At 49.8% G+C, this 23,690-nt stretch overlaps 2 protein-coding genes and 1 long non-coding RNA gene across 11 annotated transcripts in view, besides 4 other annotated features; 2 read left to right on the top strand and 1 right to left on the bottom strand.

Moving 5' to 3' along the window:
- Positions 1 to 5,921, top strand: part of KCTD21-AS1 (KCTD21 antisense RNA 1) — a 34,185-nt gene extending 28,264 nt beyond the window's left edge. The window contains exon 4 of one of the 2 annotated variants that reach the window (NR_102280.1): positions 5,344 to 5,921. This is a non-coding gene — a long non-coding RNA (KCTD21 antisense RNA 1). The remainder of the gene's footprint in view (positions 1 to 5,343) is intronic. The other variant, NR_102281.1, reaches the window with a different exon arrangement.
- Positions 3,193 to 20,570, bottom strand: KCTD21 (potassium channel tetramerization domain containing 21). 4 transcript variants are annotated; one of them, XM_006718517.3, is made up of 3 exons: positions 20,517 to 20,570; positions 9,683 to 9,929; positions 3,193 to 6,527 (listed from the first exon to the last, which is right to left on the bottom strand). In XM_006718517.3, the coding sequence occupies exon 3, from the start codon at positions 6,496 to 6,498 to the stop codon at positions 5,716 to 5,718; it is 783 nt and encodes a 260-aa protein (XP_006718580.1). In that variant the 5' UTR covers positions 6,499 to 6,527; positions 9,683 to 9,929; positions 20,517 to 20,570; the 3' UTR covers positions 3,193 to 5,715. The 4 variants fall into 4 exon arrangements, with proteins under 4 accessions (XP_006718580.1, XP_047282759.1, NP_001025030.1 ...); XM_047426803.1 differs by having other exon boundaries at positions 8,996 to 9,929; NM_001029859.3 differs by lacking the exon at positions 9,683 to 9,929.
- Positions 5,783 to 6,284: an enhancer, noted in NCBI's record as "H3K4me1 hESC enhancer chr11:77884885-77885386 (GRCh37/hg19 assembly coordinates)". NCBI's record gives its function as "activates a minimal SCP1, AML or CMV promoter by ChIP-STARR-seq in naive H9 embryonic stem cells {active_cell/tissue: H9 hESC(naive)}" and the evidence as "EXISTENCE:reporter gene assay evidence [ECO:0000049][PMID:30033119]".
- Positions 11,391 to 11,890: an enhancer, noted in NCBI's record as "H3K27ac hESC enhancer chr11:77890493-77890992 (GRCh37/hg19 assembly coordinates)". NCBI's record gives its function as "activates a minimal SCP1, AML or CMV promoter by ChIP-STARR-seq in naive H9 embryonic stem cells {active_cell/tissue: H9 hESC(naive)}" and the evidence as "EXISTENCE:reporter gene assay evidence [ECO:0000049][PMID:30033119]".
- Positions 20,287 to 20,626: a silencer, noted in NCBI's record as "silent region_3808". NCBI's record gives its function as "represses an Ori minimal core promoter by ATAC-STARR-seq in GM12878 lymphoblastoid cells {active_cell/tissue: GM12878}" and the evidence as "EXISTENCE:reporter gene assay evidence [ECO:0000049][PMID:35858748]".
- The window catches only part of USP35 (ubiquitin specific peptidase 35), a 48,301-nt gene continuing 45,473 nt past the window's right edge, over positions 20,863 to 23,690 (top strand). For all 5 annotated transcript variants that reach the window (XR_001747930.2, XM_047427335.1, XM_047427334.1 and 2 more), the window contains exon 1: positions 20,863 to 21,101. The gene's annotated coding sequence lies outside the window, so the exon portion shown is untranslated. The remainder of the gene's footprint in view (positions 21,102 to 23,690) is intronic.
- Positions 21,057 to 21,216: a silencer, noted in NCBI's record as "silent region_3809". NCBI's record gives its function as "represses an Ori minimal core promoter by ATAC-STARR-seq in GM12878 lymphoblastoid cells {active_cell/tissue: GM12878}" and the evidence as "EXISTENCE:reporter gene assay evidence [ECO:0000049][PMID:35858748]".

The following is a 23,690-nucleotide window of genomic DNA, read 5'->3' on the forward strand; positions in this document are numbered from 1 at the left end:
GGGTTTCTCCATGTTGGTCAGGCTGGTCTTGAACTTTTGACCTCAGGTGATCCGCCTGCCTTGGCCTCCCAAAGTGCTGGGATTACAGGCGTGAGCCACTGCACCTGGCTGGCAGTATTTCTTTGAAACTGACGATGGTGACGGTATTTAGTGGGAAATTGGCCCACACTACAGATCAGGGCTTTGTTTACCAGTACAGCACTAGCTGTGAACAAGTGCGGTGTGATGACGAAAGTGCTCACCAGGTATAGGGTGGCACAGCAGGGGCTGGGACTGACTTTATTGCGTGGAGCTAAGGAGGCGGGGCTTACACAGTATTGAAGGATGAGCTGTGAAGACAGAGTGGTAAAGGGAGGCCCAGACAAGTGTGGGATGGCAAGACGTATCCTGTGGTTCTGTGAAAGGAAACTGTGGATGTGAAGGCACTTGGCAACTTAATACAAGGTGTCAAGCGAAAAGGTGTAGAGTAAGCAAATCCAACATAGGATGTATAAAGTGAACTAATTAGGGCTGGGGAAGGGTATCCATGTCATAACACATTAACCTTTGCTCTTTAGCTGATAGGATCCCTAGGGATTTCAAATGTGGCTCAACAAGGCCTTTGCCCAACTCTTTGGTAAAGGGGAACCCAGGCTTTGGAGAGGGACTTGGCGTAAGGAAGCAAATAGGCTAGAACACTCTGGGGCTGCCAGCTAACCGGGAAATGTTGACAAAGGCTGTGAAATGCCCTGTGTTTTGGTGGTGGGGCGGTGGGAGTGGCAGGGAAGTTGGCAGGAAACGGGACTAGGAAAACAAGTGGGGAGGGGTCAGATAGAGCAGGCTGAGCGTGCACTTCTTCATGCGCCTCAGAGCCAGACAGCCCCGCCTCAAAGCTTGTTTTGCTGTCCCTTGTGTCGGGTGGGGTCCTGGGTGCCATGGGTTGCTTGGTGAGCCCCCGTTGGTCCCTGTGCCCCAGACTGGGGCGAGTGTGTCACTGGACTGTTTCCACAGCTCGGTTGGTGCCACACTGTCCCGAAGGTTCTGAAGGAGACTGAGGTCACCAGGCTGTCTGGGCAGACAGAGCTGCCAGACTCTCGTCCCTCCCTTTGATGGGCCTGTTATCAGGGTTGTTTTGCTCCTGGAGCTGATCACAGGCCACGTTTCCCAGCCAGCCACCCCCATCAGCCCAGAGCCCCCTGGGACACAGGCAGACGTAGGCAGTCAGTTTGGAGAGACTGCAATTCAGGAAAGGGATAGGCTGAAATTTCTTGGGCCAAGAAATTGGCCCAGGACTGACCTTGGCTAAGCCCCCACTGATGACAGACGGATTTTTTTTAAAGATTATTTTCTTTAGACATTCTTGCTCTGTCGCCCAGGCTGGAGTGAAGTGGTGTGATCTTGACTCACTGCAATCTCTGCTTCCTAGGTTCAAGCAATTCTTGTACCTCAGCCTCCCGAGTAGCTGGGATTACAGGCACGCACCCCTATGCCTGGCTTATTTTTGTATTTTTAGTAGAGACAGGGTTTCACTATGTTCATCAGGCTGGTCTCGAACTCCTGACCTAAAGTGATCCGCCTACCCTGGCCTCCCAAAATGCTGGGATTACAGGTCTGAGCGACTACACCTAGCCTGATGACTATTTTGTTGTTGTTGTTGTTTGTTTTTTTGAGACGGAGTCTCACTCTGTTGCCAGGCTGAAGTGCAGTGGTGCAATCTGGGCTCACGGCAACCTCCGCCTCCCAGGTTCAAGCTATTCTCCTATCTCAGCCTCCCAAGTTGCTGGGACTACAGGCATGTGCCACCATGCCTAATTTTTGTATTTTTAGTAGAGACGGGGTTTCACCATGTTTGCTAGGATGGTCTTGATCTCTTGACCTCGTGATCCGCGCACCTCGGCCTCCCAAAGTCAGACTGTTTTAAGAGTAATTTGTAAAAGGAAGCTGGAAGTTTGGGGTGAATGGGTGGTTACACAAATGCTGTGTGATTTAGGGTGCAGTTTACAAAAGAGTGGCTGCGTCCTAGGCTGCAAATTCTGAGGTGTGGGCAAGTGGGGACCTTGGCCACCCCTGCACAGGGAGATCTGGCCCAAAGGCAGACCAGGGTCATGAGGCTAGGCCCTTCTTAAGAGGGTGGAGGGCTTTTGGAGGTGCTGAGGGCATGAGGTCAGAGTGGTGCCTGCTGCTGGCCTTCAAGCATGCAGGGTCCCTGTTTGGTGGTGGGCCTCATGAAGGAGTCACACCAAGGTGGGTGCTTAGGGTTCCCTCAAGCACCCATTCTGTCCCTCTGCATGCAGGGGACCACACCTAGGGCAGGAACTGAGAGCTGACGAGTGTTGTGTTCCCGGCGTTGCTCCTTCAGCTGGGATGGAGCCCTTGGCGGGATAAAAGGCTAAACTGGGTCCAGGTGAGATCACCACAAGGTCTCACCCAGGGCAATGAAGGGCTCACAAGCAGCACATCCCTGCTCACAGTTCGCACTCAGACTCACCCGTCTGTCGATGGTGCTGCCATCACTGCTGAACGTTTGTTCTCCGTCTTTCTCATGCTTTTGCCAAGCAGAAGGCTGAGTTCACCTAACCTGGACGCAGGCAACGAGATGCACTGCGTGCCCCCCTTCCCCTTGTGCAGCTGTGGTGTGAACGCATACCCTCCCTTGCTTGCCCTTCCTGCCTGGTTGCCAGCTCTGCTCTTGCTGTTCCCTGTGCCCACGGCACTCTCTTGCTTATTCTGTCAAGCCTGACCTACCCTCAGAGGCCCACCTTGGCCATCCACAAGGCTCCTTCTGAGAACTGAGCCCTTTCCCTGAGTTCCCAAAGCACGTTGTGTGAAGCTCTAAACTTTCTCCAGGCTGAACTTAGCTTACTCGTGGCTGTTCACATCCTCAGGGCCCACGCAGCAAATGCTCTGTAAGGGCTTGTTAAACTCCACTCTCCTGGGACTCCTAGTCCCCCACCAGAGTCCACCATGACTACCTCCTGCAAGAGCACTGAGCTCTTGGGTGCCAGGCCCAGCTCAGGATTTTCACAGACACCAACTCGTTTAAGTTGCATAACCCCGGGAGGAAGGGGTTGTTACCTGATGAGCAAACAAATCAGAGAAGTTCAATGACTTGTCCAAGGTTACAGAGGCTTGGAGCTCTGGATTCAAACCCAAGTCACTGTGACTCAAGACCAGTGTTTTTCCCCGTTACAAGCAGACACAAAAGAATAACAATCCTTTATCATTTATACTGTATTCTCACGTTACATTATTTCATTTGATCCTCACAACAGCCCTGTGAGGTAGGTAGGGTTATGTATTACTGTTATGCCTATTTCACAGATGAAGAAATGGAGGTGGCTCAGTGAGGTGAGTGACTTGCATAAAGTCACACAGCATGTTAGTGGCTTCACTGCTTCTGCAACTTCTCTAAAGTCAAGCTGCTTGGATTAGGGAGCACCGAAAAGATGGACAGTTTTATGGAAAAGGAGAAAGGGCAGTGGTGATTTGTAAGATTTCTTCCTCAAATTGTTTTGTTATGACCACAGCTTCTGCTACTTGGTCTAAACTAGGTTCTCCATGAGGGGCTCTCCCAAGTACCCTTGGCCTGGGACAGCTGTCTTTTTTTGGGATGGAGTCTCTCTGCAATGGCACACTCTCAGCTCACTGCAACCTCTGCTATCTGGGTTCAAGCGATTCTACTGCCTCAGCCTCCCAAATAGCTGGGGTTATAGGCGCCTGTCACCACACCCAGCTAATTTTTGTATTTTTAGCAGAGACGACGTTTCACCATGTTGGCCAGGCTGGTCTTGAACTCCTGACCTCAAGTGATCTTCCCGCCTCGGCCTCCCAGAGTGTTGGGATTACAGGCATGAGCCACTGTGCCTGGCAGAAAAGCTGTCAGAGAGACTCCTGGGTCCCACCGTAGGGGGAAAAGGGCCTTTACTGCTCAAGGGAACTGGCGCTGCCCATGGCCCAGTGTACAAGCTCCCTACTCACAGGGCCTATCTATGGGAAGCCCCTTTCTGGGCCCACCTCCCATGGGTGCCTGTGTCACCAGGCTTCCTTGGCTTTGAGGACCCCTGCCCAGTGGGGGAGGACCCTGGGGACTCTCAAGGCCAAACTCACTTTAGGGATGAATCATGACGTGCAGTTTGGAGGCCTGCATGGCTCATCACCCGGTGGGAAGCAGTGCTTGGGTTGCTTGCCCTGGATGGCACCCTACAGAGACCCAGGGGTGGGACACAGGACTGCAGGGGAAGGCCGCCTTCCTGAGGGCAGGGTCTTAGGGGCCGCACATTTACTCTAAGGGCACTGTTACGGTTCATACCACTCCTGGGCTCCTTGCTGCACAGCACCCTTGGAGACCGTCTCTTTCCTCTGGATCTCCTCAGGGGCCGTGAATCTTCCTCTTCCAGCAGAAAATGGTCGAAAGGTATATGGAGCCACAGATGGTGGGGAAGGTGGGTGAAGTGGGGGTCACAAACGAGGTGAAGCTACAACAAAAGGGGACTGACTTACAGGGGATAGAAAAGAGCTAACTTTGATTCTGAAGACAGATCCCAGAGGGGAATCTGAATTCTGAGTAATGATGTTTTCAGAAAAATGTCTGGTCTCTCAAGGTGACTATTTTGAAAGCAAAGATATATAACTGGGTGAATGGGAAGGTCTGCAACCAAGATCCAGCAAGTGGCAGGACAGATTTTGGCTCAATATAGGGAAGAACTGTCTAACAGTCAGCACTGTCCAACCACAGCAGGAGCTGCCTTGGGGATGGCGCGCTTCCTATCAGCCAAGGTATGCAAGCAGGCCAAGGTGATCACTTGCAGGTACCCAGGGAGAGGCGCTCATCTTCAGATGTGCTGGGGTGTTCTAGGGGTGGGGGAGGACTAAGCAATCATCGAATTATTTCCAACCCTGAGAATCCGTAATAGATTTGTTTAAAATGACCTGTTTCAATGATACCTCAAATTTTTGGGAAAACAATGACAAAAGTCAGGTAACAGGCTGGATTTGGAAGTGATTTCATTACACTGGCTACAGATACTTGCACATTTTTGCAAAGATAGCAGACCCTTTCTAAAGCCAGGAATCCCTTGATTCAGCCCTATCAAGAGGGACATTCCTACCTTCTGAACTCTGCCTGGACACTCATTCCTCTAGACCCTGCCACACCTCATCTCTGACCCCCAAGAGGGGACACTAACAGAGCTCTGAGAATGCACAGCATTCCAAGCCAGCCAAACATGGTCACCCCTGGGCAAACATCCACGATCATGGATGCACCCTGGGGAGGGAGGAGCAGGTGTGACAGGAACCGCTGGGGACTTTATGTCCTGGTTAACTGGAGGTAGCCTCTTGTTCTCATCCCATCCTCTCCACCAGGGCCTTCTTACAGATGGATAAATGCGGCACTGGCTAGCGGTACAGAGAGATGGAGCCCAGGAGAAAACTGCTGCTCTTTTGTCCTGGCTGGAAAATCCTCCTATGGCCTCCTTTAGTACACATCAGCTGACTCTTCACTTGTCATAATAAACCGCCTGTCTGCAGCTCAAAATGGCAAGAAAAAAGGTGGTTCTGTTCAGAGGACACTGGATTCCAAAAGGTGGACTTCATCATGGGGGGAATCAAGTCCTGCTACACAATTAATACAGATTAGTATAGTCCCCTGCCTCGCACCACTGGCGAGATGCCCTCCAAGACCTGGCTGACATGAGCTTCCTGGGACTCCCCATCTCCAGTGTTGTTGGGGTCCTTTTACCTGTACCGTATTAATCGAATAATCTTATTGTTCATAAAATCCAGAGCATGTGGGTGAGAAGAATCGATGCAGAAGCCATCGCTCAGAGCGATTTTCAGTACCTCTTCCACGAAGACCTGGAAGCTGTTGATCTGCTTGTTGGCGGGCACCACCCAGAGCCTCTTGAGGTTCTGCTTGGTGTACTCCTCCTCTGGCAGGCCCTCCACATTGGCCACCCAGTCCAGAGTCAGGTGGTTGGGGTCCTGCAAGTGGCTGGTGATGGAGGAGAGATTGCCATTGGAGCAGTAGAAGAGCTTAGAGCCAAGGAGCTTGAGGAAGAGGCAGGAGGTGCTGAAGATGTTGGCGTTGAAGACCTCCATGCTGGAAGAGGAGAGGCTGTAGATCTGGGGTGCCTCGCGCACAGTGAAGTGGACCGTCTGCACACGCTGGTTCAGTGTGATGTTGAGCATGGCATTCTTCTCGGCCTTGGAGAGCTCCACTTCCTTCTCCTGCAGGGCCTCAATCAGGGGCTGCACCTGGTAGAAGTCGGCCTCCCTGCGGAGCAGCCCCATCTCCTGGAAGTCCTCAGGCAGGTCAAGGTGGGAGGTCCGCAGGAAGTTGAGGATATAGCGGAACACTTTGCCGTCACGGTCAATGAAGCAGTTGCCCTGGCTGTCCCTCTTGGTGGGCATCTTCCCGCTGAACATGGCGCCTAGCATGGAGTCAGGGAAGCTGGTCAGGGTCGCCAGTGAGGTTGTATAGAGCTTCCCCCCGACGTTCAGCGTGATGGGGTCGGACATGGCAGGAGACTGGGTTGCTGGAAGTAGTCCTGGAGAGGGTGAGAAGTGAGAAATGACTATAACCAAACCTTATCAGAGAACTCACAGTCCTTAACTCCTTATTGTACATCAAGCCTATGCCCTTGGGATCGAAATGAATTAATACCTGATGAATGGGTGATAATTGCTAACACTGTGCAAAGTACATTAGCTTCACTAGGGAGAGGGAAAGGAGAAAGGGAAAAGGAAAGGAAAAAGGAAACAGGGAAAGAAAGGGAAGGACCCCTAAAGCCTGGGTCCCCCGCGCCCCCCTCTGCTGCCGACATTCTATTTTAATTGGTCTGGAATACTGCCCCAGCCCTGGTATTTTGAAAGAGTTCCCTTAGTGATTCTAAATGTTCAGTTAGAATAGAGAACCACTGGTCTAAAGAAAGAAAGGAAAACGTGCCTGGACTGAAAGCTATGCTACGTGTTTATACATATATTTGCTTACATAATAGTTGTATCAGCCAGGTGCGGTGGCTCACACCTGTAATCCCAGCACTTAGGGAGGCCGAGGCGGGCAGATCACCTGAGATCAGGAGTTCAAGATCAGACTGGCCAACATGGTGAAACCCCATCTCTACTAAAAATACAAAAATTAGCTGGGCATGGTGGTGGGTGCCTGTAATCCCAGCTGTTCAGGAGGCTGGGGCAGGAGAATCATTTGAACTCAGGAGGTGGAGGTTGCAGTGAGCCGGGACTGAACAACTGCACTCCAGCCTGGACAACAAGAGTGAAACTCTGTCTCAAAAAAAAAAAAAAAAAAAAGGTTGTATCATCTTTTGACACAGACAATATAATCATCCATTCCTGTTGTGCAGATGAGGAAAACTGTGCCAGGATTCATTCCTCAAGCTCAGAAAGGTGAAGTGCCTTGCCAGGATTCAAACTCAGGTCCTTTTATATGAAAGAAAAATGTGTAAATGCTTACTAGCCAAAGATCGGTTCTAAGTACTCAACAAATGGTTTGAGATTTATGACTCCAGGCTCAGTGCTCCTCCTTCTGTACCAGTGACACTGCTGAATTTAATTATTATTCTCTCTCAAAGATTTGACAATGAATGGCCATGATTAGTGTCATTTCCATCTATCTTCAAGGCCCACAGTGGGTCACTCAGCTGTCCGGACTGCAAATGACAATCCTGTTTTTTTTAAATTTTTTTAAATTTTATTATTATTAAAGTTTTAGGGTACATGTGCACAATGTGCAGGTTAGTTACATATGTATACATGCGCCATGCTGGTGTGCTGCACCCATTAACTCGTCATTTAGCATTAGGTATATCTCCTAATGCTATCCCTCTCCCCTCCCCCTACCCCACAACAGTCCCCAGAGTGTGATGTTCCCCTTCCTGTGTCCATGTGTTCTCATTGTTCAATTCCCACCTATGAGTGAGAACATGCGGTGTTTGGTTTTTTGTCCTTGCAGTAGTCTTTACTGAGAATGATTATTTCCAATTTCATCCATGTCCCTACAAAGGACATGAACTCATCATTTTTTATGGCTGCATAGTATTCCATGGTGTATATGTGCCACATTTTCTTAATCCAGTCTATCATTGTTGGACATTTGGGTTGGTTCCAAGTCTTTGCTACTGTGAATAGTGCCGCAATAAACATACGTGTGCATGTGAATGACAATCCTTTCTAGACTTTCACTGCTCCCATGCTGACTTGCCTTGCCATGAAGATGCTCTTGGCTCCTGGTGGCCTGTCCTTTGCTGTCATAACACCCCAAGCTTCTCTGAAACTGGCTGCAAGGTCAGTGCAAATGCAGGACTCTGTCAGAGCACTCTCCTGAAGGCACCCTATCCACTCCTTAACAAAGCCCCCCTAATCTCTCAGCTGTCAGCATCTATGGCTGGCAAGTCTCCTTCACCACATGTTCTAGAAAACAGGAGATCTCAGCTCCAGCTTCCAACACTATACTTTCCCCAGAGCCAACCTGTGGACCAGATTCAGCAATCCTTCCCTGACATGGCAGGTAGGGATGCCAAGAGGAACTGGCCCCAGTATTACCCCCAGAAGAGCCTGTGCTGGTAGAGGAGATGAGAGAGTAAAGGCACAGTGACAAGACAGGTAGAAGATGTGGGAGATGGTCTGGAATGAACCTTGGCACATCAAAAACTATCTGGCTGGCAGACACAGTGGCTCATGCCTGTAATTCCAGCACTTTGGGAGGCCGAGGTGGGCAGATCGTTTGAGCTCAGGAGTTCAAGGCCAGCCTGGCCAACATGACGAAATCCTGTCTCTACAACAACAACAACAACAACAACAACAACAACAACAAAGCAGGGTGTGGTGGCGAGCACCTGTAGTCCCAACTACTTGGGAGGCTGAGGTGGGAGGATCGCTTGAGTCTGGGAGGTTGAGGCTGCAGTGAGCCGTGATTACGCCACAGAACTCCAGCCTGGCAGACAGAGGGAGATCCGGTCTCAAAAAACAAACAAAAACCCAACCTTTCAAGCATGCTTACCGTCCAGATGGAGAAACAGAGGTCTGAGGAGACACCTCCCCAAAGTCACCCAGCAGGGGTGGCGAGAACTTCTCAACATTTCTGCCTCCTGAAGAGGCTGACTGCACTGAGGCCTCCTTTCTCCAGAGGATGGGGGCCATGCCAGTGTGAGAGATATTCAGCTGCCATGCTCGACTCTGTGGCAGGGGCAGGGGTATGTCCCCTCATGATTCCTCCCCAGTCTAATGGGGCACTTTGATATTGCAGAAAGGCATTCCCCATCTGGAGTGTCTGAGGAGAAATGAGTCCATGTGAAATACGAAATCGTCAGTAGAAGCCTGGAGCAGATGGGCTGCGAGACGGTGGGGAGGTCCCACAGAGGTGTGGGCGAGCTGCCGCTGGGGGCATGGCTGCTGGTGTGGAGATGGCTGTGAGGCAGCAACTGGGGAGGGTGCTGTGACTCAGGGCTGAATCTGGCCAATTCTCTCTCCAGAGGGCCCAGGCAGGAGGTGGACCCAGGAGTGGGTCCCCTTTACTCAGTCCAGAATCTTCTTCCCTGTTGCCCTCTTTGTAGGACTCTAGTCTACTCCAACTGTTTTCTTCTGGATAGAAATGTGCATGTTCTAGTTTCAGTCTCTCTTTCTTCTTGAAAACAAACACTCCCTCCCAACATTGGGTTTCAGGCCTAGGATCTATAAAGTGGCTTACCTTCACGGCAGGAAAAGAAGCGGGTGTCAGAGAGGACTTGGACAGTTCCATGGGTCACAGACCCTTATCTCTTCCATGCATTACTGCTGAAGTGCTCAGAGCATTACAGGCGGGGGAGGTCAGGAGCCACAGGGCATTCCCTGGGACCCCTGGGTAGGTGCCCAAACTCTTATTTCTCTGCTTGCAAAAGCAGCAGAGCACCTGCTTTCCTGCGCCCCCGATGACGTCATGGCTCCCGGTCATTTGTCTGGGGAGAGCAGCACAGTTGCACAGGCAGTCAGGGCAGAGGCTGGCTAGCAGGCAGGTCTCCTGCTCCGAGTCTAGGGTGCTCTCTGTGGTGATCTCCCCTTACCTATCCAGTCACAGAGCTCAGTCCTCTAAGCCCTTCTTTTCTTTTTTTTTTTTTGAGATGGAGTCTCGCTCTGTCGCCAGGCTAGAGTGCAGTGACGCAATCTCAGCTCACTGCAACCTCTGCCTCCCAGATTCAAGCGACACTCCTGCCTCAGCCTCCCGGGTAGCTGCAATTACAGGTGCACGCCACCAGGCCCGGCTAATTTATTTTTGTATTTTTAGTAGAGATGGGATTTCACCATGTTGGCCAGGATGGTCTCGATCTCTTGACTTTGTGATCTGCCCGCCTCGGCCTCCCAAAGTGCTGGGATTACAGGCGTGAGCCACCGTGCCTGGTCTAAGCCCCTATTTTCTAGCCACAGGGCCACAGTGTCCATCATCACAAATCCACGGCCCTGCTACAAAAGGCAAAATGACATGACACGAGGGGAGTTTCATGAGTCGGCGGAGGTTTGCAGTCAGGTAGTAATGAACTAACACCACTGAGCCTCAGTCCCCTATGTGTTCCCAGATGCCTCCTGGCCACCTCCACTTGGATATTCTGCAAGTGAGGCAGGAGAACAAGGTTTGGAGACAAGGAACTTAAGGCCAATTTGTGCTAACTTCATAAAAGAGAAAACACCAAGGTCTGGGGCAAAAAATCTGAGGCCAATTCTGTTGACTTCCCAAAGCTGGATCAGAAGGAAAATCCTGGGTCTGGGGGCAGGGACCCTAAGACCAATTAACACCAAATTCCTAAAGCTGAACCAAGAGGAAAAACGCCATCGCCCCAGCTGGGTGACAAAGGATCAAACGCTCCTCTTTGCAACCCTCCCACTCCACCATGTCTCAGGTGGAAAGGGAGGGGGGCCTTGGATTGGGACCATCCCTTTATCTGCATAGGGTGCCCATTCACCTCAGCCTTTAATTAGCCACAGACTAAATCCTTCGTCCAGATAAGGAGTAGCTGATAAGAACCTCAAATGGGGTACCTAAAGCCCAGAGAACTTTGTAACTGGGCCTTTGAGTTCCTTGCTCCGGCCCACTCCCACCCTGAGGAGTGCTTTCTCACTTTAATTCCTGCTTTCACTGCTTCATTCCTGCATTTCATTCCCCTGCTACTCTTTTTATTTTTACTTTTTTTTTTTTTAGTAGAGACGGGTTTCACCACGTTGGCCAGGCCGGTCTTGGACTGACCTCAAGTGATCTGCCCATCCAGGCCTCCCAAAGTGTGGGGATTACCACGTCTGCCCCTCTGCTACTTTGTTCAAAACGCCAAGGACCTGGAAAATTCCTAGTCAAGACCCTCCACCAGTAACACAGGTACCAGAAGCCTCACCTGTGCCTTCCTCTGCCCCTAACTCTGCTGTGAACTCTTCTGAGCCACCCAACTGCCTGAGGGAAGCAGCCCCGACTCTTCAGCCCTACAGTTTGTCTTGACTATCTCCTTGAACCCATCCCTATAGCTACTCCCAGAGCTCAGGCCTCATCCCTGCCCCCTGCACCCCTACATCCTCACTCGGCTCCCTGCCTTCTGTCCACCTTCCTTTCTGGTCTGCAGACTGACCTTCCTGAAGTACCGTCCCTGCCCAACCACCTTCCTCTTTCCCTCTCATGTCTAACCCTGCCCTCCACGCACGCCAGACGCCACTGAGTCAGTCTCCTTCATGCTGACACCTGCCCTGCCTTTGCTGTCCCTAGACCACCCCTGTCTACCTTCTCTACCCTCTCTGCTGTCTACCTTTCAGGCCCAGCCTATGAGTCATCACCTCTGTACTACTGTCCCCAGATCTCCACTAGGTTAACAGCTCTCCTCTCAGGGCTTCCTGGTGCCTTGCACAACCCCCTCTGGCAGCACCCAGCATTCCACCTGCAGCGATCTCCTTTGCACATGGCCCTCTTCCCTGGCTATCTCAAAATGCAGATCAGTGGACATCCATATGGGGAAAAAAAGAACCTTGGTCCATCTCTTATGCTGTTTATGAAAAATAAACTCAGAACATATCATAGACCTAAATATAAAATCTAAAACTACACAACTTCTAGGAGAAAATCTTTGCAACTGTGGATTAGGCAAAGATTTCTTGGATAGGACCTAAAAGGGACAAACCATTAAAAACATCAATAAACTAGACTTCATCCACGTAAAAAACTTCTGCTCTTCAAAAGACACTGTTAAGAAAATGAAAGAATAAGACACAGATGGAGAAAATATTTGCAAAACACCTATCTGATAAAGGATTGTTAACCAGAATATATAAAGAACTCTCAAAACTCAGTAAGAAAATAACCCAATTAAAAAACACATAAAGCTGGGTGCAGTGGCACATGCCTGTAATCCCAGCACTTTGGGAGGCTGAGGCGGGCAGATCACTTGAGGCCAGGAGTTCAAGAACAGCCTGGCCGACATGGTGAAACCCTATCTCTACTTAAACAAAAACAAAAACAAAACAACTAGACAAAAGATCTAACAAATACTCCAGCAAAGAAGATATGCAGATGACTGACAATCACATGAAAAGATGGTCAATATCATCAGTCATGAGAGTATGAAAATTGAAACCACAATTATATGCTACTATATACCTATTAGTGGCTCATATAAAAACTGACAATGCCAATTGAAGGTGAGTACATAGAACAATGGAAACCTCATACACTGCTGACAAATGGTAACCGCTGTTGAAAATAGTTTGACATATGGTATGGTTTGGCTCTGTGTCCCCACCCAAATCTCACCTTGAATTGTAATAATCCCCATGTGTCAAGGGCAGGACTAGGTGGAGATGATTGAATCATTGGGGCGGTTTTCCTCATGCTGTTCTTGTGATAGTGAGTTCTTAAGAGATCTGATGGTTTTATAAGGGGTTTCCCCCTTCGCTTGGCACTTCTCCTTGCTGCTGCCATGTGAAGAAAGACATGTTTGCTTCCCCTTCCACCATTATTTTAAGTTTCCTGAGGCCTCCCTAGTCCTGTGGAACCGTGAGTCAATTAAACCTCTTTCCTTTGTAAATTAGCCAGTCTGGGGTATGTTGTTATTAGCAGTGTGAGAATGGACTAATACAGCATACAATTATCACGTGACCCAATGACCCTACTCCTAGGTATTTATGCCGGAGAAATGGAGACATATGTCCATGCAAAGACTCATATGTGAATGTTTATGGCAGCTTATTCATAATTGCCCAAACTCAGAAACAACTAATTGTAAACAGATAAATTGCAGTACATCCATACAATAGAATATGACTCAGCAATATATAGGAACTACTAAAAGACATTACCACATACATGAATTTCAAAAGCATTACGTCAAGTGAAAGAAGCCAGCCTCAGAAGGTTACATGGTACATGACTCTATCTGTATAACGTTCTGGCAAAGGCAAAACTATAAAGACAGAAATCAGATTAAGTGAATTCTTGGGGCTGGGTTGGAGGGAAAAGACTGGTTACAAAGAAACACAAGGCATATTTTGGAGTGATGGGAATATTCTATTAGGTTGGCACAAAAGTAATATGATGTGGTGGTGGTCAAATGTGTTTATAAAGACTGTCAAAATTCATGTAACCATACACATCTAAAAGGGTGAATTGTGGCCAGCTGTGGTGGTTCATGCCTATAATCCCAGTACTTTGAGAGGCCGAGGCAGGAGGGTCACTTGAGCCCAGGAGTTCAAGACCAGCCTGGAAAACATAGTAAGACCCCTGTCTCAATTAAAAAAAAAGTGTAAATTTTACCATACTTAAGTTTTACCTCCATAAACAGGAAAAAAAATGAAGGTTGTGACCTATTGGCAAGTCATGACATCAATACAGTTAAGTGGGTTGTAACCAATTATATATTGTTGTGAAACTTTTGTTTCAGTTGTGTGTCTATGAACTGGATCATGGTATCTTCATACTGTGGCTGACAAAACAATTTTTTTTGGAAACCACTGCCTAGTTTGTGAGCTGAGAGCAACTGCATGTCTCACGTCTGCATAGTCACCGCCTTGCACTCAGGGGAGGGGTTGTGTGATACTGTGATATAATAAGCAATATACATTTTAGATTTGTCCCCAGCTGTTGGCCAGGGCTAAAAACTGTGTAATTTCCCAAGTGATAATAGCTATAGGAACTTCTTCTATTTTAATAATTGGTTTTGTCCCAGTAGGTGGAGGTTGCAGTGAGCCAAGACTGTGCCACTGCACTCTGGTTTGGGTGACAGAGCCAGGCCTTATCCCAAAGCACCCCCCCCCCCTCAAAATTAATTATAGTTGTTATGCTATCCTAATCCAAATCCCAATAGTATTTTTCAAAAAAGATTTAAATAATTAAAATTTTAATCTGGAAGCACTGATGACTGATAACCTGAAAGAGTATTTGAATAAGACATCTTAGCGCAATGTATTAAACTAGATTATAAAGCAATGACATTTCCCTCTGTGGTTTTAAAACAATGAGAAGAGAAGGAATTTGGTAATAAATGTGAAGAGACACAACTAGCAATGTTTAAAAATAAACATATTGATAAATATATTGATCCTTACAACTCTGGGACCCAGGCAGGACCGATTACATTGTCTTTGTTTCAAAGACAACCTAAAGCAGACCCAAAGAGCGTGAATCCCTTGCCCAGGGCTTCATGTGGATTCTTGACCTCAGAGTCATGGCCTCTGGGAAGTTCTGGTTTGGACACCCTTCAGAGAACCAGTCCTTTAGACGTCTTCGGCAGGAAGCTGAACCCAGCCACAGAGGTCCTAGCCAACAGTCTGTATACTCATGGCGACCTGGAGTAGGCAAGAGCTCTTTTCTGTGCAATTTCCTTTTTTCCTACATTACTGTCCACTTCCATAATGAGCATTACTTCCATAATGAAATGACTTACCATGCAATCCTGTCAGTGGGGACTAGCTGTTGTAACAATAAATGTACTGAGTAATGAAAATTGTCCATCTATCATCTATCTATCAATCACCTATCCATCATTTCCTAGCTCTGCTCACTCACAGAGCCTAGAAATGACACCCAGTAGCAATAAACACACCTAGCCCTGGATCTTTGTTTCTGAATGTCATCATCTCTTCTAAAAGAAACCAGGGCTTCCTGGAGAAACTGATGATTCCTGGACTTTCACAGGAAAAGTTCAAGGTGAGTTCATATAGCCCAGTGAATTAAAAAACAACAACAACAAAACAAGAGTCCAGGCTGGGTGCGGTAGTTCATGCCTGTAATCTCAGCACTTTGGGAGGCCGAGGCGGGCGGATCACCTGAGGTCTGGAGTTCAAGACCAGCCTGGCTAACATGGCAAAACCCCATCTCTACTAAAAATACAAAAAATAGCTGGGCGGGGTGGCGTGCGCCTGTTATTCCAGCTACTTGGGAGGCTGAGGCAGGAGAATCGCTTGAATCTGGGAAGTGGAGGTTGCAGTGAGCCAAGATCGTGCCACTGCACACCAGCCAGGGCAACAGAGTGAGACTCCATCTCAAAAACAAACAAACAAAAAACAAGAGTCCATAATGTTATTCCCAAAAGAAAAAAGAGGGTGAGAAGAAGGGAGTGAGAAAGATAGAGACAGGAAAAATTAATTCTTTTTTTTTTTTTTTGAGACGGAGTCTCACTGTCGCCCAGGCTGGAGTGCAGTGGTGTGATTTCGGCTCACTGCAACCTCCGCCTCCCAGGGTTCACGCCATTCTCCTGCCTCAGCCTCCCGAGTAGCTGAGACTACAGGCGCCCGCCACCTCGCTCGGCTAATTTTTTGTATTTTTAGTGGAGACAGGGTTTCACCTTGTTAGCCAGGATGGTCTCGATCTCCTGACCTCGTGATCCGCCCGCCTCGGCCTCCCAAAGTGCTGGGATTACAGGCGTGAGCCACCGCACCCGGCCAGGAAAAATTAATTCTATAAAAAAGAACACTAATAAACACAGAAGGAATGGCAGAATTAGAAAATTACCAATTTGCAACCCTCAGTGTTGTAATTCAAGCAAGGATCATCCAAGGATGTGGTGTGAAAGGTTATCAGGAACACATAATTATAACAGACTCAGAGAATCACTTCACAGATTACTTATTAATTGTAAGAGAGAAAAATTTACCTTTACGATAGAGAGATCAGGTTGCCATGACCTTAATAATCAAATTTAGCATTCATGGATAGTAAGACCCTGACATCATATCCTCCTGACATGCAGTAAGTACACACATTGCCAAAAACTTAAATCTAACCCCAATCTAATCATTGATAAACCAATCAAACATATTTAAATAGGTGGAGAAGCTCTATTTATTTATTTATTTATTTATTTGAGATAGAGTCACACTCTGTTGCCCAGGCTGGAGTGCAGTGGCACAATCTCGGCTCACTGCAACCTCCACCTCCTGAGTTCAAGCAATTCTCTTGCCTCAGCCTCCTGAGTAGCTGGGAGTATAGGCACACACCACCATGTCCGGCTAATTTTTGTATTTTTACTTGAGATGGGGTATCACCATGTTGGCCAGGCTGGTCTCGAACTCCTGACCTCAAGTGATCTGCCCACCTCAGCCTCCCAAAATGTTGGGATTACAGACATGAGCTACCATGCCAAGGGGCTCTATTTAGATTAAATGAGTTGATAAAAGAGATATAATAGGATGCAATATGTACATCTTGACTGGATCTGATTTTAAAAACCAGAAACTATATAAGGTATTTTTGGGCAATTAGAATTTTTTTTTTCTTGAGACAGGGTCTCACTCTGTCGCCCAGGCTGGAGTGCAGTGGCGCGATCATGGTTCACTGCAGCCTTGACATCCCCAGGCTCAGGTGATTTTCCCAAGTAGCTGGGACTACAGGTGCACGCTACCACACCATGCTAAATTTTGTAGTTTTTGTAGAGATGGGGTTTCACTATGTTGCCCAGGCTGGCCTTGAACTCCTGGGCTCAAGCAATCTGTCTGCCTTTGCTTCCCAAAGTGCTGGGGTTATAGACATGACCCATTGCACCTGGCAGAAAATTTTGAATAACTATTACATTGGGTAATACTGACTTCTTGCTTATTACATATAATGTATTATGGCTATGTAGTAGAACGCCCTTATTAGGGGATACATGTTGAAGAATTTAGGGGTCAAACGTCAATCAACATATCTGTAACTTACTTTTAAATAATTGGGCCAAAAAAGTGTGTGTTTGTGTAAAAGCACAATTGGCAAATTGTGATTTGGCGTATCTAGGTTAAGGGTTGTACTTTAAGCTTTTATGTAAGCTTGAAAATTTTAAAAATATTTGTATTTTAAAAGAGGGGGGAAGAACACTTCTTCATAGGGCCAATAGATGTAAAGTTACAGTCATTGTGCCAGACCCCAATAAGTCGCCAGATTTAGTAAGTTACAGATTTACTACTACTACTTAGAAGTGTGAAAAGCTCATAATTTTCCTTCCCAAGTGTTTCTGAATTTTGAAGGGTGAGGATGCCAACCAGGGCTAAGTGGTGGAGGAGTTAGAATCTAAGCCTGGGTGGGCAGTCTGGATAGAGCCACCACCCACAGAAACCACACCACTAGGCCTATTTTTTTTTTTTGAGATAGAGTCTCGCTCTGTCACCCAGTTTGGAGTGCAGTGGCGTGATCCTGGCTCACTGCGACCTCTGCCTCCCAGGTTCAAGTGATTCTCCTGCCTCAGCCTCCTGAGTAGCTGGGATTTCAGGTGCGTGCCACCATGCCCGGCTAATTTTTGTATTTTTAGTAGAGACGGGGTTTCACCACGTTGGCCAGGCTGGTCTCAAGCTCCTGACCTCAAATGATCCACCCACCTCAGCCTCCCAAAGTGCTGGGATTACAGGCGTGAGCCACCGCGCCCGGCCAGGTCTGCCTATCTTCTGTGCTGTGATTCTGCCTGGAAGAAGATGGCTGTTCAGGCCTTGTTTTTCCTGCCTCATCATGAACCCAGAATCTCTGTAACTCGGCAGGAAAGAAACTCCTGTCATGACTCACTGTGAATGTTGACAAAGAGAGGCCACTCCTGGGCCTCAGAAATGTCAAGGATGGGCAGAAAGAACTGGAGACAGGCCAGGCTCAGTGGCTCATGCCTGTAATCCCAGCACTTGGAAGGCCCAGGTGGGAGGATCGCTTGAGTTCAGGAGTTTGAGACCACCTGGACAACATAATGAGACCTCGTTTCTATAGAGAAAAAAAAAAATTAGCTGGGCATGGTAACACGTGCTTGCAGTCCCAGCTGCACAGGCTGAGGTAGGAGGATCGCTTGAGCCTGGGAGGTCAGGCTGCAGCAAGCCGAGATCACGCCACTGCACTCCAGCTTGGGCAACAGAGTAAGACCCTGTCTCAAAAAAAAAAAAAAAAAAAAAAAAAAAAAAAAAAAAGAAAAGAACTGGAGAGGCTGTGTGGGGTAGGGGCAGACCATGCATGGTATTCGGCATTACCTGGGTTTGCATTTGAATCATCCCCTGCCACTTACTAGCTGTGCAGCCCTGGGCACGTTCCTGGGCAGATGATGATGATCATAACAACAACAAACACTACAACGGCAATAATAATGGCTAACGTTTATTGAGCAGTTACTACCGTGCTAGGCACTCTATACATGTTAATCTCTTTCAATCTCACAGATTAAGTAGATACTATTATATACCTACTTTACAGACCAACCATACTGGGCCCTCTTCGACTTCTGCAATTTGGCATCTGCCATCCCCTCTGCCTGGACCTTGAAGACAAATCCCATGCATCGGCCAGGTCTCTCAGCTGGAATTCATTCCTTCTCCTCTGCATCTGCGGAGAATTTTAGTCTAACCCCTTACCACAGCCAACTTTACTTAAGTAGATGGATGCCTGGCTCCCTTGCTGGGGCTGGGGGTGCCCCTTTCTATATCCACAGAAGCACGTAGAATAGGGGAAGAGGAAGAAATTTCTCTCCTGTTTAGTCAGATCCATTTTCCCCACCTGGATTTTCAAAACTTTTTAATTTTGAAATGCTCTGTTCAATTTTCAATCTGGAATCTAAAGGGATGTGACAAGGCCGAGGTGATTACTTGGGAGTAAATGCAAGGAGAGTTTCCACTGCGTAAGGGAATGGACAGCACGTGGCTGGGTAAATTTCAAAAAAGACAATGCTCAGAGTGAGTACTGTGTTTTCCAGTAAGTGGGAGACTTCCCCACCTTACCCCACCGGAGAAAGGACTCTTTGCCTTGAAGCCCCTAGGACGACTACCCTTTCTTCACCTCCTCTTCCTGACCACCCCACATCAAAGAGCTGCGTCTATAATTCTGTCTTGCCCAGTCCATATCTCTAAGAAATCCGAAGGCTGCTCTATTACCATCACAACCCATAGGGAGGAGAGAAAAGGTGCTTCCTAGACACAGGGACCCCAGAATGAGCTGCGCAAAAGGCAGGAGGAGAGAAAGGTGGGCTGGAAGAAGGAGACCACGGAATCTGGCACGGCAAGGTATTCTTTCATCTGGCGTAGACCTCCAACAACCACTACCATCCCCCAGCCCCTTCCAGAACTTTCCTTCACCTTCTCGGCTCACTCTCACGCTTCACCTTGTGCTTTTCCTCCGGCACCAGCACCCCATTTCAAACCGCTCTCTTCCTATGTCTCCTCCAAACAGTAATTTATAAACACCGTGCTTTCAAATCCATCTCATTTCATCCTCACAGTACTATAGGAGGGCTGCCTTACAGGCTGTCATTCGGAAGGGTTGGGGGGACTGGTCCTGCCAGACAATTTGCGAAGGTCGGGGCATCAAAACTTTTCTTTCCTGCCTCCCACGCCAAGCTAAACCTCTGCCTCCCCGAGTGCAGGGAGAAAAGCAAGGTCTTTGAAGTAAGGAGTCCTGAGTGGTTTTAGGCAAGTCCCTTCGCTTTTCTGAGCCTCACATTCCTCACCTGTCAACCGCTATAGTGACGCCTCTACTTTTCAGGGCGTGGGAGGTCAATGAGATCACTGGTGTGCCGCACTGAACTCGGGGATGGACTCTTTATTTCCAGTCAGTAAAGGGAGGTGTTCTATGCATCACAGGCTTTTGCCCACGCCGCCACAGCGCGGCCGGCCCAGGGCTCTCCAGAGCGGGGCAAGTTCCCTGTCATCTGTGTCTCCGCCCTTCCTTCCCCAATCTCACCCAGGCTGGCCTCATCGGCTTGTTCCGCACCCACTCCCCAGCCCTACAGCCCCCACTCCGACCTGACAAGTGCCCCACCCCCACCTAGAGATCCCGCCTCTCCTTGCCCCACCCACCAAGGACTCCTCCCACAGTCCCGACCCTCATTATCCGGGCTTTTCCGACTATCACCATCCGCCCTTGCTCTCCCAACAGCCCCGCCCCTCTAAGAGCTCTGCCCACTTCGGCTCACCTCGCTCCGAAACGCGCCCCCTCCCCCGCACCACAGGCGATGCCATCCCCATTTCACAGATGGGAATGGCGAGGCTGGGATAGATTAGTCTCATGGTAAGACAGGTGCTCAGTGGGCCCACGTACCCTCGCCGGTAGTCCCCGAGCCCCGCGACCCCGGCCGTGCCGCACCCACCTCCTGCCCTCGCTCTGCAGCCTCTCCCTCCGCGAGCGGCCAGCGCAGCTTTGCGAGGGGGGCGGAGGGTAGGAGCCCAGCCCAGGGGCGTGGCGGTCCGGGGTCTGTGCGCTGCCTTCCGGGACTGGTAGTTCTCTCTGGGCTCCTCGCAGCTCGGCGCGTCGAGAGCGAACTCCATCTCCCAGGAGGCATTGCAGCGAGTTGCTCTGCGCCCCGCCTCGTCCCCGCCGGTGTCCGGCCGGCTGGCCTTAAAGGGGACGCGGTCAGAGTGGCAGCTCGCGGGGTGGCCCCCGCTCCGGCTCCGCCCCATTTCACGCACCTCGCCCCTCCCCATGCTTCATCCCGCAGCCCCGGGGCCGCGCCGCAGAGTCGGGCTTCCTGGATACATAGAGGCTTGTGCCAGGCGGGGTGGGAAGACTGGATTTTGCAGTGGAAGCAGCATCTCTTCCGTCTGGGACCTGGCTGAGGGCGTCCCCACCCTGGGGGGAGCAGAGGACCAGCCCTGACCTAGCCGGGCCCAGCCTCGTCCTGCCCGGCCTGAGCGCCCCGCCCAGCAGCCGGCTCTGGCCCACCGGGGTCCGGGAGGTAAGGGGGTTGGGGGCGTGTGACTGTCTTTGGGGGGCGGTGTCTGCACCCTGGCCTTTCGAGAACCCTGGACTTGCGAGCCCAGGGCTGGGAGTCGGGAGATCTGGGTGCATCCTGGGCCTCCTGGGCCTCACTGTGTGACCTTGGGCGAGTAGCTATTCCTCTCTGGGCATTAATCCCCTCCCTTCATCAATTGTATGTCGAAGTGATCCTGCTCCCTCCCCTTTCAGGTAAGAGGGCATTCGCACCCAGTACCTAGTACATTCGCTTGCTGGCTTTTCGTGGGGCCCTCCAGCTCAAGCGTGGGCTGGGCGCGGGTGCACTGGAGGGAGGGAGGTGGCACAAACTGGGGGGCCCGAGGCCACCATTGCTTGGAATGGGCTTTTCCTATTCTCAGTGTGCTGGGCCCTGGGATACCCTCCCCAACCCCCTCTTACGGCCCTGGCCCTTGCAAACCGGAGACCCTGATGTGTCAGCTTGGTGCCCTTCCTTCCAGAAAGCTTGGGGTGGAGTGCGGCCCTCACAGGTTTGTGAGGGGTGGCCCCGCAGGGATAGGTGTGTGTGGTGGGTTCCTGAGGAGGAATAGCTGCTCCTGCTTTCTTCCCTTCTCTCTCCTCCTTATCCTTTGAGGAAGAGCAGCTGCTTTTTACCAGTGAAACCCTTTTTTCTTTTTCTTTCCAGGAGACAGTTTGGTGGCCCAGACATGGGCCTCCCGGAGTAGGGTGAAGCACTTCTTCCCAGGGTTGCCTTGGGTAGAAGTTCAGTTAAAAAATACCTAGAGAGATGCTGCCATTCAGACACCTGAGGGGCCAGAGATGGAGGGCACCACCTGGTGTCGGGAGGGGCAGCCTGGTACCCCCAAGGAAGCTCTGGCTCCCAGGGGAGTCAAAGGAGGGAGGCTGGCTTCGAGGGTCAGAGAGGGGAGGAAATGTGCTCCTCAGCTCTTAGGTGCTGAGCAGAGGCTGGGAGGGGCTGCTCTGACCTGGAGCAGGGAGAGGTTGAGTAACACCATGAAGCCTTCTTCTCAGGTCCTAGGAGATTCTGTGAGCTTTTGACCTGAAGGCTAACCAGGAACAGATTTTTGTTTTGTTTTGTTTTGTTTTTGTTTTGTGCTTTTTCTTTTGCTTTGGTTGTTTGAACAATTTCTAGAATGGCTAAAGCCTCAGTCCAGTCCAGTGACCTCTGTAGGGGCTTTCTTGACTGATGTTTAAGATTTTCAGGGTTTTTGATATGCAAGACCAGGCCTGGGCAAAGGAGGGGGTGGTGACTGGACCAAAGGTTAGGCCAGTTTCTGGAAGGTACTTTTGTGGTTACATCTTTGGTTTTCTCTCATCTTGCTGTCACATGTCTCTCATGAGTTGCTTGACGCACCTTCACGGACACCTCAGTCCTTGGTTCTGTACTGGGCACTGGGCTCAGAGACGGGGATTGGACCTCTGCCAAGGGAGGTCCCAGCCTGGTGGGAGACAGAGACATGGATTCCAGTTATGCTGCAGAGGGATGAGAATAGCTAAGAGGGCCTTGGAGGCCAGAACTTTAGACACTTGAATTGTGGAGGGAAAAGGAAAGGCTTCCCAGAGGAGAGGGCATGTGAGCTGGGCATTGAAGGGTGAGTCAGAATTTTCCAGGAGAGAAGAGGGAAAAGCCCTTTTTCAGTAGAGGGGACATTGTGCAAAGTAGCAGTCAGGAAAAAGCCCCCTGCTCCAATGTCTGCAGAGTCTCCACTGAACAATGTTGCTTGAGTTCATCTCCACCCCTGCCCCACATCAGCTGAGTGTCACAGAAAGGGCTTGCATGTCCGGCTCAGGAGTTTGGACCTTATTCTGGGTCCAAGGGGCTGGAGAGTGTTGAGAGTTCTGAGCAGGGGCATGGACGGAATGGTGCTTACCGTGTAATAAGCTCCATCTGACGATGCTGCATCTGGAGAGACCAAGGAGGGATGATGAAGCTTGAGCGGGGGCCCAGGGCGTGGCAGTGGGGCTGAGCATAGGAGTTGTGTACACACACATACACACACACACACAGGGTGCTTTGGGGTGATGGAGATAAGTCAGGCTCAACTGTGCAGGAGCAGAGATCAGTCAACACTCGGCAGAAATGTTGAGGGTCATCCGAGAGGAACAGGTGAAAGGATCTGGGCCTTTTGGCAGAGGGATTGGGATTTTCCTGAGTGCTCACTGCGTGCCTTGGAGTGTGCTGGTGTTGCTGGGACGCCCCTCAGGCTGTCATGCCAGTAGGGCGAGGGGTATGAGGCAAGGGCTTGGGAGGAGCAGCAGCGCTGGCTGGGAAAGGCTAAGGGGTGGGCACGTAGTCACCTTCTATTTGGGCATTCCGAGGATCACAGAGGTAAAAGAACACCTACCTCCATGGTGGCTGGGCTAGACTCGAAGCCTGGACTCTGTTCTCCTCTAGGACACATGCCTCTGTTGGAGGATGGATTGAGGGAGGGAATTGGGAGATGGGTTAGGAGGCTACTGCACTAGTCCAGGCAAGAAGTCAAGGGGTCTGATCCTGGGTGGGGCTGGGAACACCGAAGTGGCAGGGAGGGCTAATGGAGGAAATGCCTTGGAGAATCAGCAGGATCAGCAG

The sequence above is a fragment of the Homo sapiens genome, chromosome 11 (genome assembly GCF_000001405.40).
Source record: "Homo sapiens chromosome 11, GRCh38.p14 Primary Assembly".
Lineage (NCBI taxonomy): Eukaryota > Metazoa > Chordata > Mammalia > Primates > Hominidae > Homo > Homo sapiens.

Excerpts from the sequence above, each read along its gene's own strand:
- KCTD21 (XM_047426803.1), bottom strand. The coding sequence starts at position 9,074 with ATGTTGAGAAGTTCTCGCCACCCCTGCTGGGTGACTTTGGGGAGGTGT. Across the intron at positions 6,528-8,995 it reads TCTGTTTCTCCATCTGGACG|GACTACTTCCAGCAACCCAG; the intron begins GTAAGCATGCTT and ends CACCCTCTCCAG.